Source organism: Homo sapiens, chromosome 9 (genome assembly GCF_000001405.40).
Source record: "Homo sapiens chromosome 9, GRCh38.p14 Primary Assembly".
NCBI lineage: Eukaryota > Metazoa > Chordata > Mammalia > Primates > Hominidae > Homo > Homo sapiens.
This window is the reverse complement of record NC_000009.12, coordinates 89,353,417-89,371,754: the sequence shown is the minus strand read 5'-3', so window position 1 is coordinate 89,371,754 and position 18,338 is coordinate 89,353,417. Positions and strand designations below refer to the sequence as shown.

General features: G+C 50.5%; 2 protein-coding genes across 60 annotated transcripts in view, besides 2 other annotated features; one reads left to right on the top strand and one right to left on the bottom strand.

The window, feature by feature from the left end:
- The window catches only part of SEMA4D (semaphorin 4D), a 137,327-nt gene extending 126,359 nt beyond the window's left edge, over positions 1 to 10,968 (top strand). For 20 of the 22 annotated variants that reach the window (NR_163886.1, NR_163889.1, NR_163884.1 and 17 more), the window contains 3 exons: positions 7,805 to 8,014; positions 8,228 to 8,325; positions 9,327 to 10,968. Coding sequence is in view for 16 of the 22 variants with exons in the window: in XM_047422627.1 (XP_047278583.1) it covers positions 7,805 to 8,014; positions 8,228 to 8,325; positions 9,327 to 9,353 (335 nt within the window). In the remaining 6 variants the exon portion in view is untranslated. Of the gene's footprint in view, positions 1 to 7,804; positions 8,015 to 8,227; positions 8,326 to 9,326 lie in introns of those variants that run through there. The other 2 variants (NM_001371202.1, XM_047422629.1) reach the window with 2 other exon arrangements.
- SECISBP2 (SECIS binding protein 2) overlaps positions 4,638 to 18,338 on the bottom strand; it is a 48,618-nt gene continuing 34,917 nt past the window's right edge. For 18 of the 38 annotated variants that reach the window (NM_024077.5, XM_017015122.3, NM_001354702.2 and 15 more), the window contains 3 exons: positions 14,190 to 14,344; positions 13,564 to 13,756; positions 12,092 to 13,034 (listed from right to left, as the gene is read on the bottom strand). In NM_024077.5, coding sequence (NP_076982.3) covers positions 12,931 to 13,034; positions 13,564 to 13,756; positions 14,190 to 14,344 — 452 coding nt within the window. In that variant the 3' untranslated portion in view covers positions 12,092 to 12,930. Of the gene's footprint in view, positions 10,934 to 11,450; positions 11,511 to 12,091; positions 13,035 to 13,563; positions 13,757 to 14,189; positions 14,345 to 16,560; positions 16,970 to 18,338 lie in introns of those variants that run through there. The other 20 variants (XR_007061351.1, XR_929840.2, XR_007061348.1 and 17 more) reach the window with 9 other exon arrangements.
- Positions 6,857 to 7,357: an enhancer, noted in NCBI's record as "H3K4me1 hESC enhancer chr9:91979313-91979813 (GRCh37/hg19 assembly coordinates)". NCBI's record gives its function as "activates a minimal SCP1, AML or CMV promoter by ChIP-STARR-seq in primed H9 embryonic stem cells {active_cell/tissue: H9 hESC(primed)}" and the evidence as "EXISTENCE:reporter gene assay evidence [ECO:0000049][PMID:30033119]".
- Positions 7,358 to 7,858: an enhancer, noted in NCBI's record as "H3K4me1 hESC enhancer chr9:91978812-91979312 (GRCh37/hg19 assembly coordinates)". NCBI's record gives its function as "activates a minimal SCP1, AML or CMV promoter by ChIP-STARR-seq in primed H9 embryonic stem cells {active_cell/tissue: H9 hESC(primed)}" and the evidence as "EXISTENCE:reporter gene assay evidence [ECO:0000049][PMID:30033119]".

Sequence of the window (18,338 nt, the reverse complement as noted above, 5' to 3'; positions counted from 1 at the left end):
CCACACCCGACACACACCACACCCCAGACACACACCACACCCCAGACACATCCCACACACATCACACCCCACACACACACCCCAGACACACACCACACCCCAGACACATCCCACACACATCACACCCCACACACACACCCGACACACACCACACCCCAGACACACACCACACCCCAGACACACACCCCCCCCCACACACCACACCCCAAACACACCCCCACACACACACCACACCCCAGACACACACACACTACACCCCAGACACATCCCACACACATCACACCCCACACACACACCCCAGACACACACCACACCCCACACACACACCCCAGACACACACCACACCCCAGACACACACCACACCCCAGACACACATGCCACACCCCAGACACACACACCCCAACACACACCACACTCCAGACACACACCAACCCCACACACACCACACCCCAGACACACACACCGTCACACACCACACCCCACACACATGCCACAGCCCACCCCACATACGCACCCTACCCCAGACACACACCACACCCCACACACCACACCCCAGATACACACCACACCCCCCCCACACACACCTTATACACCCCAGACATAACACACACCCCACACCCCAGACATACACACCACACCCCCCCACACACACCTTATACACCCCAGACATAACACACACCCCACACCCCAGACATACACATACCCCTGACACACACCACACCCCACCCCAGATACCACACACCCCACACCCCGACATACCCCTGACACAGCTCACCCCAGATACACACCCTACCCCAGATACACACCATACCCCAGACACACAACACCCCCCCAACACACACCATCCCAGTCACATGCCACACATCCCAGACACACACCCCACACGCCACATCCCACACACACACGCCCGACACACCGCACCCCAGACACACACCACACCCACACACATGCCACACCCCACACATACACCCCACCCCACACACACATCACACCCCTCACAACCACACCCCACACACACACCACACCCCACAAACTACATAGACTATGCTAGCCACATACCACACACCAGACACACACACCACACATGAGCATGACGTATACCGCACACATGCCATGCACTGTACCCCCCCACACACATCCCAGACACACATACCACACACACTACACAGACCACACAGCAGACATACCACACACCAGCACCACACCCCCTCACACCACATGCCACACACACCACATGCCAGCATCACACACACACCATACCTCCTTCATACACACCACACACACAAACCAGACACACACCTACATACCACACACCACACACCAGCCACACACCACAAACACACCACACACACCACACGCCACGCATATATCAGATACACCACATACGTACAGATACACCACAATATACACCACACGACACATGTACCACAACACACACACACGACATAACACGCACACACATCACAAACACAATCATGTCCACCACACAACACACACACCATGTGCATGCACACAATAAATGCACAGCACAAAACATCACATACACCAAATCACACACACCACACACACATCAAACACCATACACACAGACCATGCATACTCACTGCACATGTGCACACATACCAACACACACCACACACACACACTGTACACACACCTAAAACCACCCCCATACACACCATACCAAACACAACCACTCACACATGCACCACACACAGCACAGCATACAACACACATCACACACACACCAATCATACCACTGTTACACACACACCACCACACATACTGCACACACCAAAGCACATACACACCACATAGACACATGCACGCTACCCACACCACACCAATCACATCCACACATACACAACCATACACACACACACACACATTGTTGACTTAGGATCGTTTCAACTCACAGTGGGTTTATTGGGATGCAGCCCCGTGGCAAGTGGAGCAGCATGTGTATTGACAAGGGGAGGAAAGCCGTCTGGAGCTGGTGAAGTAAAGTTAGCATGCAGCCGAGCTCTGCTCGTCTGAACTGATGAACCCAAGTTCCTCATGGATCACTCAGAATACAGATGGGTGAAAAAATAACCCCACCACCCGTGTGCCAGCACATAGCGCATCTGGCATACAAACGTAAGGATCAATAGCGATGAATGGCGATGGGTTGTGTCTACATGCAGATACAAATCATGCACTTGTACATTAGTGTGCACACACAGAAACAGATCGATATAATTTTTTAACCAAAGTGCAGTCTTTACCCTGTCAGGGCCCTGCCTTCACCTCTGCCAGGACTATCTTCCATGTCAAGTTTAGACCCGTGTCATTTTCAAAGCTAATAATGGTTCCCCCATACTTTAGGCAGCATTTAGATATTTGGATTTGGGATGGCCTTTTATGTTTTAACTACAGTGTTAGAAATCAGAGCCCTTGGAACCACTGGGATCAGAGGGCAGCAGCAGAAGGCGCCCTTGGTCCTCTTTGAGGGGCCCAGGGCTCTGGAGAGGGCCCCCGTTCCTAGCAGCCACAGTGGCCTGTTGGCACGCATGTGTGTGTTCCAGCTGCTCTGTGACATTTCCCTTTGTTTCAGACTCTTGAAAGGCCACGGCCGTCGTGGGAATTAGTTGACCTTGTGTGTTGGGCCACCCTTGCTGGACAGGACAAGGTGGTGCTATCAACTCCCTGTGCTCTGAGGTCCTTCGCATGTTAGATGAGGCAGCTTCACCAGAAACTATCCATGTCTCTTCTGTTATCTGGGATAATTCCACGTGCCTTTACAACACAGCTGTCTGGTTACCTGGGGTCTGGAAATGCCCTCGGTGCCTCAGTGGTGCCTTCCCACAGGCCCCCCATGGAGCCAGGCGATGCCTACAGATGCCTCAGTGGTACTTTCTCAGGTCCCTTTGCAGAGAAGAGGTTCAGGATTCCTGCCCACATTGATAAGGCGGCTTGGCCAGTAAGTGGCAGGCATGAACAGGTGCATTCCAGAAGCGCTGGGGCTGGTCCAGTGCCCTGAGTGGTCTAGAGCATACCAGAGTGAAACGTTAGGCTGCGTCGGCCTGGTGACTGTCAGGGAGATGAGGACTCAGAGAAGGGAGCTGTCAGAATTGCTACCTATGTGGCAGGGGTCTCACTCTCTCCTCCCTCCTCTTGGGGCCCCTGGCTACTCTGTGACTTCAACAGAGGACAGAAAGGATGACCAACAAGGCCTCAGGGCATACCCCCAGCTGCACTGTCCTTGTCCCCAGAAGGGTCCCCAGAGTCTGGGAGGGAGGAGGGGCCATGGCCAGGATTAGAAAAGACCGTGCCCCAAGGAGAGAGCACAGAGATGGGCCAGGGAAGCAGTGGGATCCTCGGGAAAAGAGGCTGGGAGCAGGTGTCCGGGTGAGGCCCGGGCAGCGGGTACAGGCAGGGACAAGCCAGGAGTCCCATCATGGAAGACATGATGGCCAGCGGCCAGCACTGTGTGCAGAGAATGGCCCCTCTGGGGATGTGCCCGCTGCCCCATTAGTTGCAGGAAGGCCACCTGGATGTGAGTTTGGGAGATGGGCTGGCCCCGAGGCAGCCAGCCCTGAGGTCAGAGTGGGCCACATGCATGGGGATGCCGGGAGGACACAGAGGAGTGCTGCAGGAGATGGCAGTGGGGGCACTTTCCAGGATGGGCCCGAGCAACTCAGTCACTGGGTGGATGTCTCACCACCCCTCCAGGCCTTCCTCAGGGCGAGGCCACTGCCCAGAGGGCACCTGGTTTGTCGCAGAGTAGAATCAGCTCCATATTTTGTAATCACATCCACGAAGCTCTGAAGCCATGGTGGTCCTGGCACCAGCTGGCTCCGTTAGAGGCTTGGGGTGGGAGTGAGCAGGTGGGAGGTGCCCCAGTGACAGGCTGAGTGCTGGAGCCCAGGCTGCCAACAGCCTCCCCAGACTCCTGAGTTGATGTAATAAACCCAGCCCTGGTGAATAAACCTGGCCCTTGCTTATACCAAGGTGATCAGTCTTCTCACGACAGTCCTAGCTGTAGGAGAAAGATCATTACCTACGGCATCTGCCACAGCAGTTAATTTGCCTTCAACTTAAGCTAGTTGCAGTGACAGGAAGGGCCAGGGGGAAATATCTGTCCTCAGGACCTCTACCCTAGATCCTTGTAAGCCACAACAACTTCCCTTCTTTGAGGGCGCGACCAGTGTCACCTGGCTCGCCACTGGGAAGAGCCAAGGCACATCCAGGTTGGTGGCTGCTGAGCCCCACAGCATCAGACCAGCCTCTTGTCCCCACCCCACAGAGGCCAAGGGGGTGATCTGGGAGTAGCACCCCAGCCTGGCCGCTCTCTTGAGGTAACAGGGTTGGATGGTTAGGGAGCTTGGAGCACTGGCCCAAGCAAGAAAACAGTGGTGTTTTCAGGAGGCCCTGCTGGGAGATGGAAGACAGCTCCCCACTGGGGGCCTAGGATTCCAGGAGCTCCCCAGCAGTCCTCCGTGGGACATACGTGGGTTTGCACCTGCTGCCCTGTCCCGCTGAGGGTGCGGTGCTGATGGGGTGGCCCTGCACACTGATGGTAACTCTCACTTTCCCTCTCTCTCATGCATTCAGAAAGAGATGGATAGTTTAAAAACGAATACATGGAACGTAAGTACTTCTTTAACATCTTTAATGTCTTATGATGATCAAGCATGTATTTAAATAGTATTTACTGATGCCTGTTAGCAGTGGTAAGCACGTGTCTGTTTCTGCTCACACCCCAAGAGTGTAGAGCTTTGAGGGTTTTGCAGTCAGTGGTCCCATGATGGGGCGTTGGGTGATTAATCCAATCCAGCTTAGGCCACCCAGATTCTTAGTCTCAAGGGCTTGGTCATGAGAACCTTCCAGAGGCTCCTGTGACTCAGTGACTCCAGTCCCCTGGGTGGTTCTTGGTGCAGGTCACATGAGGGAGGAGACCGGGCTTTTATAGAACTCACTTCACTGTCTGTTCAAAGAAAAGTGTTACTTGATCATAACAGCTCAAAAAAATCTGTTTCTTAAAATGAGATTTTACCTGGATGCCCATCAGCTGGGAAAGGGAATATCTATTCCCCAGTTGATGGGCACCTAGATGTACATAGAGACATATGTTTGTACATCTATGTAATATGTACTTATATTTGTAGATAGATACATGGAATTATCTGTGGCCAGAGTCCAAAACATTTTGAGTGGGAAAAAACAAATTATAGAGTGTTAAGTTTTGTTTTTTTTTAAATTCTGCACAAAAACCAAACCTGTTCACAAGGGCTTGTCCACCAGGCCAGGGCCAGATGGGCCGCCAGGCAAAACAGTTTTGGAGCACCTTCTGAATTTCCTTGAGTTTACAGAATGTTTCCTTCAAAGTAACACTTTTATAAAAAATTATTATTATAAAAGCAATGCTTGTTTGTTATAAGTTTGGAAACTCCAGGGAAGTATAAAGAAAAAATTTAAACAATCCCAAATTTAACCATCCAGAGGTAGTTACCACCAGCATCCCAGCCATTTTTGGGCCATGACTATCTACGTTCACACATGTATACATGGGTGTGTACATATATGCACACATTCCTAGATATTGTTTCACTTATTTTTCTGTGTTGCTGAATATTCTTCGATGGCACTTCGAATGAGTGACTTGTGGCCCCCTTCTTGGACATTTCCCAACTCCTCACTGATAGAAACAGGGCTTCACTGGGCCCATCCTTGCCTCGGGACTCATTCCTAGGACTGCCCAGCTAAAGGGTCTGAGCTTGGTCAAGTCCTTGGGAGGAGCATTCTCTGGTGATCCTGGACAGTGGGGAATTGTTGACCAAGAGACCGGACAAAGATGAGCAGATGCCACAGTCAGTAAAGCAGGGAAAATGCATTACTAAAGTCAGCTTCATTAAACTGGCGATCTCTTCTTTTCAAAAGTCCAGCATGTGCCACAGAAATGGAAAGCTCTCTGGCCACTACTGTCCTGCCCAGGGAGGGGAGCGTGGGTCCACCCACACCATTTAATACCTGTAACTGGATGCACCTCTGCCCCTACACCTGAGAACAAGGCCAGTTTTTGTGTGTGCAGGTACTTTGGACTCTTTTGGCTCTGGAATTTGTTTTACCTGCTCAGTGTTCTGAACTCCTTCCTTTTCACTACTAAGCATTCTCCATGAAGCCACACTTCATTTTGTCATTGTGAGGTTGATGGACATCTAGGGCAAATCTAACTTCTAAAGACCAATTCTTACGAGGTGTCATGGTCAAGCAGAGGCCATGGCCGGCACTGGTCTAGGTGGCCCATGGCCCATTTGGGGGCCTTGGTGGGCCTCGAGGAAGGGCAGGTGCTGGTCAGGGAGCCGGGTCGCTAGGCAGCAGGTGGGTGTCACCCCAGTCCACGCTGCTGGGGTGCCTGGCCTGATGCAGGCTGTGCCTGAGGGAGACAGAAGCAGCAGAGTAGGCTGGCCGGCCTCCCCAGCCCCACCACAAGCAGGAGCTTCAGAGACAGAAGGAGCACCTGCACCCCCTCACCTGCCCTCCAGGGCCTGGCCTGGCCCTCCCAGCTCAACTCCAGGGTCTGTACGCTCTGGGGCTGGAGCTTAGTGGGACTGTGGCCCCCCTCAGCCCTTTCTGCATTTGAGTGGAAGCCAGTGTGCGAAGCAGATCAAAATGGATGTGCTTGTTTTTCCTTCAGTAAGAACAGGGAGTTGAGCCTGTCCCAACATGGCCAGCAGCCCCTGGAGGGCCAACAGACTTCACGAGCAAGGAAGGCCGGGAGGTGACCTGCTGACCAGAACTTACTTGTGCCCCTCCCCCCCGCCCAAAACCCCCAACATTCTGGTTTTCACAGCCCCACCCCAGCCACCTGGAACAAATAGTGTCTAGGAGTAGCCCTCAGGGTTGGCCGCGCAGACTTCTTGCCCTGGGATGAGGCTGGCCTCCCCAGGCGAGGCAGCCTGGGCCACAGGGGAACGTCTCTGCCTCGCCCACCCTCCTGATCTCTCCATCAGACAAGCTGAGGCCAGCCAGGCTCCACCCTGGCAGGTTGCAACAGATGGTCTGAGTGTGTGTGAAGTAACTGGCCTCTCTACTTTCTTCAATAAGTAATTAAGATCAAAAGCCCAGAGAAAAACAACAGAGGTTTGCGGCAGAAGTGGCCAATGTCGGGCCCAGAGTCCATGCTCAAGGCTGGAAGCCCATCCTGGATGTGCTGCACTCGGCAGTCCTAGTGTAATTCTGCAGGGCCTGGCCCCTGCCAGGGTCTGAGCTCTCCAGCCTGTGGCATCTACTCCCCTCCAAGCCCACCCCAGTGTCTCAATTGGAGAGACAGGCCCTCATGGTCCCCACTCTGGCCCAGCCCCCTCTGCACACAGCTGGCCGAGCTCTGGGCCTCTCCATGCTGTGGCCCTGGTGATGGCAGAGCCTTGGGATGTCTCTGTCCATGTGGTCACAGGACATGTGTGTGGCAGCAGGGCCATGGTGGGGTGGGATGCTGTTCCAAGGCCCAGAACCATTCTGTAAGAAACCAGCACAGCGCTGCAAGAAAGGGGGTCCTAGGGGACACAGGCCACACAGGTGTGCTTTGAAAAATGGCAATTAAGGTCAAAGAGCAGGAAGTCCACAGGACGGGCCAAGGCCAAGGCTCCCGCTGGCCATGGGGAAGCCACCTCCAGGGCAGTCCCAGGGACTGAATTGGAAGTTGTCCCAAGTCACTTCAGGTCCAACTGGGACAGCAGAGGTAACCCCCCTGCACCCTCATGGGGCAGCTTCTTTGGGTCCTAAATGTGGACTCAGAGGTGGAAACGGTCTGTGTCCCCAGGTCCTGCAGACATTCGCTTTGTCTGGGAGAAGAATGGGCGAGCTCTGGAGACCTGTGTCCCTGTGCAGACCCATGCACTGCCCGATGGCAGGGCCCATGCACTCAGCTGGCTGCAGGACGCCATCAGGGAAAGCGCTGAGTATCGCTGCTCTGTCCTCTCCTCAGCAGGGAACAAGACTTCGAAGGTGCAGGTTGCTGTGATGAGACCTGGTAAGTGATTCCCATGCCCACTGTTACCCTTTTATGAGGTAATTTTTCACTATTTACAATGGCAGTGAAAAAAACAGCTGGAAAGCATGCTTGCACGGTGGCATTCTGGGTTTGGGTTTTATTGGCTTTCCATTGAGAAAGGTGGCCAGTGGGCATCAAGGGTGCCATAAAGGCCCACAGAGCTTTGACCTGGGGACCCTGCTTGTTTTCCAGAAGTGACCCACCAGGAGAGGTGGACCAGAGAGCTCTCTGCCTGGAGGGCTGTGGCTGGGGAGCACGACCGGATGATGCAGAGCTGGAGGAAGGCGTGGGTAAGTGGCCGCAGCCGGGCAAAGAAAGGAGGGCTGGAGCCAGGGGCAGGGCACCTGCCACATCCAGTGGATCTTTCAAGGGCCCCATTCAGCATGGACCCCACTTGTTCCCTCTTAGCCCCGGAGCAGTTTCCTTTATGAAATCTGCAACACTGGGGGGGGAAATCCCACGTCTTGTTGCTGAGACTGCAGGAGATCAAGGGGCATCTGGCCCCAGCCCTTAAAAGAGACTGAAGGGAGGCGAGACTGGGAGGGACTCACAGGTGGGGCTGTCTAGTTAGATGGGCCCCCACGACCACCCCATTCTCTGTACAGAGCACTCAGCCAGCCACTCCTTTGAGGAGGGCAGGAAACCTGGACAGATGGGGAACCCTCCAGGTAGCTCCTGGCTGGATGCCTCACCTGAGGCACCTGTTGGAGGGGTCAGGGGGAGTGGCTTCCTGAGCTAAGCCCTGGCAGGAACTGGGCTACAGCATGGAAGCTGCAGGCAGTGGGGCAGAGGCTCCCTAGAGGCTCCCTGTCTCCCCACGGAGACAAAGTTGTCCAGCCCCGGCTCCTAAATAGCCGATACAGAAGGCAAAGGCAGGGATTCATCACTGTGTGCTACCACCTGCGGTGGGGTCTGCAGCACTCAAATGAGTGCATTAAAGTGTGTGGGTTACGTGGCTGCCAGCAGTACACCCCCGAACTGTTGCCACCAAAGGCTGGGCATTTACAGCTGATCCTCTGTACTTCAGCACACACAGGCTCCCTCTCTCCAGCCCTCCTGCCTCTCAGCACAATCTGGGAGTGGAGTGAATGCGCTGCTGCTCTGCCTTCCTGTCACATATGGGAGAACCACTCCTGGCATTTGGATCTTTAGACTCCAAGGAGGGGAACCACAACAGGGGGCTGAGGCCTTGAGTGCTCTGCCTGGGATGGGCTATGAGACAGACTGGGCTGCAGAGCAGGAAAGGCCCATCCGTTCCACCAAGGATTCAAAGACCACATTGTTCTTTCAGGAAAGCTGTAGCAAGGACACCCTGTAGCCACCAGGAAGGAGTCCCTGACACCGACCTCAACCCCAACAAGACCCTGCTGCCACTGACCACAGCCACCCCCGGAGAAGGCCTGGTCCCCCACAACTGTGAACTGTCTTGCCCAAGCCTGCTCTGAACACAGCCATTGGGCCACCACCTGATGGGCAGAGGCGGGACAGTGGAGAAGCCTGGAACCCAAGTGGGCCTGTGACAGGAACTAAGACTTAAAAAATTAGGTGCTTACCTGGGACAGTAAGTTCTGTCTGGCACAAGCAGGTAACCAGGATGGCTAACAGGCTTTGATAGCTGCTCGTGAACTAAAACAGCAGGGTGTGTGCAGGTTCCTCCTCTACGGTCAGGCAGCAGGCTCTGAAGGCTGATCCTACACCGTCCCAGTGACTCCCCTTGACAGAGTGCCCCCACCCCCTAATAGCCAACAGGGTTAGCATGGCCAGCACAGATCGCTGCTTTTATTGATGCAAATCAAGCCTGCTGCTTCTCCTCCCTGCAGACTTAGCCAAGGAACTCCAAGATGCATGACTGGGACAAGAAAAGGTGAGACTCCACATGGAAATGCCTTGCCCTAAACCTTGAATGACTGTGAGATGCGATCTGGGAGTGCATCTGTCAAGTCTTTGTGTTTTCTTCACTAACCTCAGAATACTGGGCTCTATTTTATCAAGCGCTGCAGTTTATGCCTCTGTCCCGTCAATGCTCAGCTTCTGCAACAGGACACCAAACTTGATGCAGAAAGCCAAATAGGTCAATTATGCAAATCTCCTGGTGCCATATTAAATTTCTTGACGATGGAATGAGTCTCATGAGTGTTTTGTTCTACCTGCTTTCAAGTCTCTAATTATTAAAGCTGTATCTCTGAAGACTGTGTCACTGTGTGTGTGAACTTGTCCTAAAGCTACTCAGCCTTTAATCTTACACACACGTCTCTTCTTGTCTGTTGAATGACAGTTTTCATGTCTATCATAAAACCAAAGCCTCTGTTAAAAGTCAAGCCGCACCCCTCTGGTGATCCTAGCAAATACTGAGTGTCTTCCCAGCAGTGTGACAATGACCTGTTTTGCATCCCCTCTTTCTGGAGCTGGACAAATTCTCTACCAGCCTTTGTGTGGGATCAGCATACATCGCCTGCTAATTCCTTCAGGATCCATCACAACAGGTGTCCTGAAGATGCTGGAGACACCCTGGTTGTCTCCACACGTTCCCCCTCCGCACCCCAAGTCGAGAGGCCCAGCTGCCTGTGAGGTGTGTGCTTGCCCATCCAGCCAAGGATGCCAGTCTTGCTCACGGAACCATCACATACTCATAACCTGAAGTTTTCCTGTAAAATATCCATCAGCTCACTGTGGTTCTTGCTTTGGGTGTGGCTTCAACCACTACAAACTGATGAGTGAAATGCTATGGGCTTTAGGCTTATATTCTTGGTGCTGTTTTCTGTCTCTTCTCCTGAAGTCTGGATTTCAAGCACTTTCACACTTAACAAAATAATTACATACTTGAAGTTTTCGTAATGTGGAGTGTTCTACTGGGAAATGGAGTTATGAGGATGAATTTCTGAGTCTTTCTTTGCTCTGCTGGAAAAAATAAAAATAGAGTTGTACATTGTTCAGTTAAATGACTGTACTTGGCGCCCCTGGCCCAGAGCTGTGTGCTTCATGCGGCACCATCTGCACGTTGAGGGAGCTGAAGTCACCTGCAGCAGTGGCCTCAGCTGGAGTCCTTCACTGCCAAGAAAATGATAGCATCACCAGGCAACCATGTGATGAGAGTTTGGTTAAATCCCAGGAAAAGGAAAGCTCTCAGCAGCTGCATGACATGTTGAAAAGCCTACCTACTCTGTTTAAGCTGCTTTTATCTTAGGATTAGCAAAACAAATATCACAGAACTAGAGAGCTCTAAAAAGGGGCTTTGAGCAGAGGAATTCATCTCTAGTGGAGATCTTTAATTTTTTGATTTATCAAATTTTAAAATTCTAGCTGCTGAGTGCAGCTGATAGGCTATTTTGTCTTTTTGCCCACAAATTAATTTTGGAACTTTCATTCTCAAATAATCTCCTATTTTCAAACTTACCACAACTTGCTATTTACTTACTGATGAGGGGAGGAGGAAGCAGGAAAGACCTCTCCTTTCCTGCTGGCCCCGCTGACTGCCCTGAAAGATAAATGGGTGGAGATGACTTGCTGCTTGGGACTACTGATGGCCTGGCTGACCACATCTACTTCCCATGTCTAAACAGCTCAGAACGTGTAAAGAACAGCAAGGCTCACACTGGTCACTGTGAGCTCCACAGATGACAGGGCAGACGGTGCCTTCATACACCAACCTCTGGTCACATTTCCAGCCCTGCTCATAGCATGTCATTTCTGACTCACTATTCCAATTTTATGTGCTCATCACAGGCCGCTTCTCAAGAGGTACAATATTGCCAAGACTGAATTCAATTAAGAGCACTTTCAAAGCCAAAACAATACAAAAAGCAGTGAAAATTCTTTCCTGCCATTGGCTGTGGTGAAAACGCAAGTGCAGGTTGGGATTGAGCCAGGATCTGGCTCCGGCAGGTCTGTGCAGTGCTGGAGGCTTTGACAATCACTACTTCCAGACCTAGGAGTGCTGGGGATAGCAGAACCCCCACTACGCGGCCCCCTTTTATTTCAGGGCCCAGACTGTCCAAAGGAGGTAAATTAAGACATAGGAATCATCAAGTAAGACAGAGACCACTGAGAAGCCTAAAATCACCAGAGTCTGAAACAAAATTTAATAATTACTCTTTATTTAAAATAAATAAGCCCTCTTACTTACAGGGAAAATATGAAAGCAAACTCTGTCCTCCTGGTCTAAGACAGAAACCACATTCAGAATATGTTCATTGAAAAAGGAAAGATTTGTTGATTATCAAACAAATCTAGGTACTTCAATACACATTGTTTCTTTGAAAAATAAAGACTGAAAGGAATAATTCATTTCAAAAAGTCACAGGTTAGAAAACCAATTTTCCTTCTGAGGCTCATTTTAGCAAATCCTCCAAGTGTTCCCAAATCTTTTAAAAAAGCTACATCCCCTGAGAAAGGGCCCTTTCCCTGTAGCCCTCTTGCTCTGACACCAGCAGCCCTGCACCCTTCTGCCAAGTGGCTCCCTGCAGGACGGTGCTGTTGCCGGGCAGGAATGGCCCTCCATGGCAACCTCCAGCAGGCAGGAGCTCACCACCTGCTTTCTGCAAACTCACTCACTTGGCTCAGCTATTCTGCAATGGAGAGGAAGTTTCCTTAGCAGCCAAAGTATTCTAAGTATCACATTTTCCAGTATTTTCCAGATCCGTAGTGTGCTCAGAAAGCCAGAGCTGTATCACCAGGCTTTTAGAGAAGATTAACACCTGCACATCTGAGTGACCTTTAACAGGCTCCGCAGCACTGAACGCCTGCAGACACTGCTTCATGTGCCCTTTAATGCTGATCAATTTCCAGATTCAACAGTTACACAAATTACATTGTCATGAAAAACAGAAGAAAAAGCCCCAAAGTCTTTTTCAGACCTCCCCTCCTTACCCAAAATACAGACACACAGGCAAGAACTCTCATAAATTCAAATTCATCATTTGAGAGGTTGAAGCCTCCAAGGATTCTTCTAGCTCCAGGGTACATCCACTGTATGCTTCCAGATGTTTTTTCCAGATTTCAACTAAAATGAGAAAACAGCACGAGTGAGGAATAGGCATCAACAAGTAGGAAAACTCCTGTAAGAAAACCAGCAGCATGAGAGAGGGAGCCTGTGGCCACTGCCCAGCAGCTCACGGTGCTCAGAGGTGCCCTGGCAGACATTCACTCACTGTTCTCAGCCTGCTGGGCCGGGCTGCCCCTTATTGAGGAGAAGCTGGGGGGCCATCTTCTATAGGGCAGCTGGGGCCTTGTGTAGGTAGGCTAGGAGAGGACTGAACCTTTACTTGGCCTTCCAAGCCTGTCTTGGGTACAGCTATCCTTAAGGCCACCCATTGTCAAAAGACATCTGACTTGAAGTCTGAGACAGTCACTGACAAGCCCTTCCCACTTCAAAAGTCTGATAATACCTCTTAGGCAATGGGCTGGACTTACCAGGCCCTGCTACTCAGCTGGTCTTGCAGCATTGTCAAGCTGCTCACCTAGGGACTCCTAATTAAAGTCAGTAAATAAGAGGACACTCGACCTGACACAACTCTCCCTTAAGCACTCACTGTAGTGTGGCTCTTCTTTTTCTTTCAGGGCTGGGGGGCCATCTTCTGCAGGGCAGCTGGGGCCCTGTGTGGGTAGGCTGGGAGGTGCCTGAGGCCTGGGCTCTCCCACCAGCTCCTGCTGCACATTCTCCAGCATGGTCTTGTACGCCTGTCGGGCCGCCACTGTCAGCTCAACCATCTTGTGGAACTGATCCTTGGGCACAAGTGAGAGCACACAGGTAACATCCCAGCTACAGAGGACACGGGTCCCTCAAACTCAGCAATGGCCACCTCCACAGAGAAGCAGGGGTGACATGGGGTAATGTGGACCTCATGCTTATGGGTGGGTACCAGGGATGCTGCCCCAGAGGAAAGAGTGGGCTAGGCCGACTTCTTGGGCCTGCCTGAGGTGCCACTATGTCAGCAGCAAGCCCAGAACAGAGCTCAGTTCAGAACCAGACAACCCATGATGTCAAGGAGACAAAGGCTACTTTTTTATAAGAAGGTTCTGCCTAAGTGGTGGCTCCTCCTCAATGACAGCCTACTGGAGGTTCTGGGGCTGCTCTGTGGGTGAGCCCACACTGACCACCTGCCCCCACTTCCTCCCACGGGCAGTGACTGAAGAGGCCTGTGCCCTGTGCACTCACCTGGGCCCCATCATAGCTGAAGATCCCCACCACACTGACAGGAACTGCCTTATTCAAACTGCGCCCCAGAGCTTTGCGGTTGAGAGCAAACACAAAGGGAATGTTCTGCTCACAGGCATAATCAATAATTGTGTGCAAAGTGTCATCCAGCCCACCTGGTCAAAGGACAATGAAAAATGACAGGAAGACATGTCACATGGAGTGTGGTGTTAATACTGGTTGCAAAGAGCTTTTTCTTAGCAACACACCCATCTATGATTTTATATCCAAGGCAGACGCCCCTGAAAATACAAGGAGAAAGCAAGTTGCAGAATCAACTCTCCAAAAATATGGGGAAAAATGGAAAGAAAACACACAGCTGGTATTGTCTTAACAGGAAAAGTTAACTATTAGTATTACTGAAACTTACCACCTATTAGCTCCTGTGTCCTCCCCCAAATCCCAAAAGGCAGACAGATGCTGTGTCCTCACTGACAGATGCACAACCAGAGGCACAGAAAGGTTAAGTTTCTTATCCCACATTGTACCCCTGGTCGAGGCACAGGTCTGGCTCCCGAGGGCTCACCACCCTCTACTCCCTGACCCTGCTTCTGGGCCAGGGACCAGCCAAGGCTGGTGCACCAGAGAGAGGATGGAGGTGAAATGAGTACCATGTGCAGGTGATGCACCTGGAAAACCCAACAGCACCTGAGAAGTACTCCTAACAGCATGAGAAATACATGAGGGGGTGTGGCACAAGCACACAGCAGCCAGTTGGCATATATCAAAGAGATGACTCCATTTACAACAGCAGCACAAGACTATAGTTGGTAGGAATGAATTTTTCAAGAAACATGAAAAGATTTACAGGCAACTTCAGCATGCTGTTAAAGAACGCAATACCAGCCTACGCAACATAGTAAGATCCCGTCTCTACAAAAAAAAAAAAGAAGAAAAAAAATTTGCCCAGTGTGGTGGTATGTGCCTGTAGTCAATCTACTCAGGAAGCGGAGGCAAGCTCAGTAACTTGAGCCCAGGAGTTCAAGGCTGCAATGAGCCATGATCATGCCACTGCACTCCAGCCTGGGCAACAGAGTGAGACCCTGTCTTTTAAACCATCCCCGCAACAGAAAATCTGAACAAATGAAAAGGCACCTATGCTCCTGCATAGAATGATCCAAAATGATGAAATGTCAACTCCACATTAATCTAACACTTTAAAACAGCGGTCCCCAATCTTTTTGGCACCAGGGACTGGTTTCGTGGAAGACAATTTTTCCACGGACAGGGGAAGATGGTTTTGGGATGAAACTGTTCCACCTCAGATCATCAGGCATTAGTTAGATTCTCATAAGGAGCAGGCAACCTAGATCCCTCACAAGCGCAGTTTACAACAGAGTTTGTGCTCCTATGCGAATCCAACGCTGCTGCTGTTCTGACAGAAGGCAGAGCTCAGGCAGTAATGCTCACCTCCTGCTGTGCCACCCAGTTCCTAACAGGCCCCAGATAATACTGGTCTGCAGCCCAGGGGTTGGGGACGCCTGCTTTAAAATACTGTAAGTTACTACAGACGGGATTTCACTAAGAAATAAAAAATATGGAAAAAATATAAAAAGATGTCAGGCTAACATGGTCAGGTATTAAAGTTTACTATAAAGATACCATAGTGTAAACAAGGTGATGCAGATTAACAGGATGGACGCCAGAAAAAACCGGAGTTTGATGGAAACAGCATGTGAGGAACAGCATTTTGGTTTAGTTAGGGAGAAGATCCTAGAGGACTGGGTGGGCCCATCCTGTCCATCTTAGACCACAATAAATCCTACCTAAACATATACAAATGAAGGAACCAGGAGATATACAGAATTTTAAAAGCAAACCTTTTAAACGCTGGAGTGGGAAGGCTGAGAAATAACACAATACCTAGATGCAACTAAAAAATGAAATACCAATATATAAAACACCTAAAGTCTCTGCATGGCCAATTTTTTTTTTTGGTGGAGAAACTGACAAACCAGAAGAAATACTTGGAACTCTTACCCAAAGGGCTAACTTATAAAAAAGGTACAAATCAATCTAAAAGAGGTCAACATCCCAAAAGCAAATGGGCAACAAATATGAACAATTCACAGAAAATGCCAAGCTCCTGATGCTGACCCTCCCTCATAAGAAAACTGCTAATAAAAACTCCTGGAGAGGATGCTCACACCACCCTGGGAGGGAACACAGTGGTCTCTGGAGGAAGGCACAGCATATGCTTTCGAGTTACCAAGGCACACAGCATTGTAGGCCAGGCATCTGGCCTACAGGATACTCACCCAGTCTTTACGGAGCAACTGTAAAAAACAACAACTGTTTACAATTAGCATAGTATCACCTGGAATCTACTTACATATCGATCCTCTCATTTCAAGAGAAGAACTTCTCCAATGCACGTCCTACCATACTGTGGAAACTGGGAACTCATTCTGCATCTAGTTGGATAGGAGATTAATTTCTAAACCCACAGCCCTTATTCTGCCCACACCCTGCCCCTGATCTACCCAAAGCATTTGCAAAGTGATGAGGAGGCAGCCTCCTGGGATAGAAACTTTGAAGAAAAAGACCAGTTCCAGATGGGCTGGGAAAAGGGGAGATAGGGCAGAGGTGGGGTGGAGTGTTCCGTATTCCTGAGGTATACTTACAGTGAAATCTATATTCAGTTTGTCAGGGGAGACATATGAAGTCCCCCGTAACATCAGATGCATCTCTCTCACTGGAGGGTCTCTGCCTGGTGTCCACCCCAGCTCCCGGGAGTGAATCTGAAATGTTATTTGAGCACTGTGCAGAAACAACCTAACAGAGCAGGCTTGGCTGCTGTCCTCTCGAGGCTGCCTGTCAGGTTGGCCCTTGGTTGGGGTCTGTGAACTTGGATTTTGGGAGGGTTCCCACCACCTTAACTGGTAAGAGTAACTCACTGTGCCTCTATGGTGTGCAAACACTGTGGTTTCTGCTGAACACCTGCTTTCCTTCTGGAGTCTGGAACTTTGTGTGTGCTAGGCAGAGGATGCCTGCGTGACCGGCCCCCAACAGAACCCTAGGCGCTGAGTCTCTAATGAGCACCCCTGGTAGACAACACTTCCCACGGGCTCTTAACTTGTCTCTGGGATATTAAGAGTCTCCTATGTGATGTCACTAAAAGTGACTTTTGGAAGCTGGAGCCTGGTTTCCCCCACATTTAACCCCATGTGCCTCTTCGCTTTGCTAATTTTGCTTTGTGCCTTTTCACTGTAGTAAGTCACAGCTGAAAGTACCACTCTAAGCTGAGTCATGTGAGTCCTCCTGGCACATCACTGAGCCTGGTGGTGGCCTTGGGAACACCCAATACAAGCAGCAAAATCCAGACTGTTTTGCTCAAACAACCTCCAACCCGTTATTAGTGAGATGAAAGCACGTGTGGCAAGGGCCAACTACTGAAGTTCCACAAGAAAGCTTATGTCAAACAAGCAAGATGCTAGGCTCAGATTATTTCCATTTCAAAGTTTAAGTTCAGAATTATTAGGTTAAATGCCACTCAGAGCAAATACAGTACTTCAACTTAATTCAAGGCTATAACATCAATTTTTATCTTTAAGATGACTGCAAGCCATTGGCTATCTTATCTGGCAAATATTTATAAAATATACAATCAAGTCCCTTATGCCTCAAAGCAAAAACGTGTCGGAACCAATGATTACACAAATGCATTTTAAGTATACAACAAATCCTTATGATGCTGATCAAGTAAAAACCTAGCCCCATGCTCTGGCAGAGGCAGAGAAGGAGAATGATGTCTTCCAAGAAAGTGGGGTGACTGCAGGCTAAGGGCATACATTTCCACCTTTTTGTTTTTTAAAGACACAAATCCACGGAAGAATGTGAGAGACAACAGCAAAAAGTTTCAGAAGCTGACATGCAAATGGACAACTGAGCTAGCCAACCTAAGCCAACAGTGAGAAAAGCCTAGAACAGCCAGCCCTGGACCCCAGAATCCCCCAAAGGTCGGGAATAGGCAGCACAGGGTGAGGCACAGGTGAAGAGGGCTGGTTGAACACTGGGCAAAGAGGCAACTCGGTGTCCAGCCCCTCAGCTGCAGCCCTCTGGTGAGGCACAGCACAGGTTTGCAGGACATGACGCACCACACATCTAATG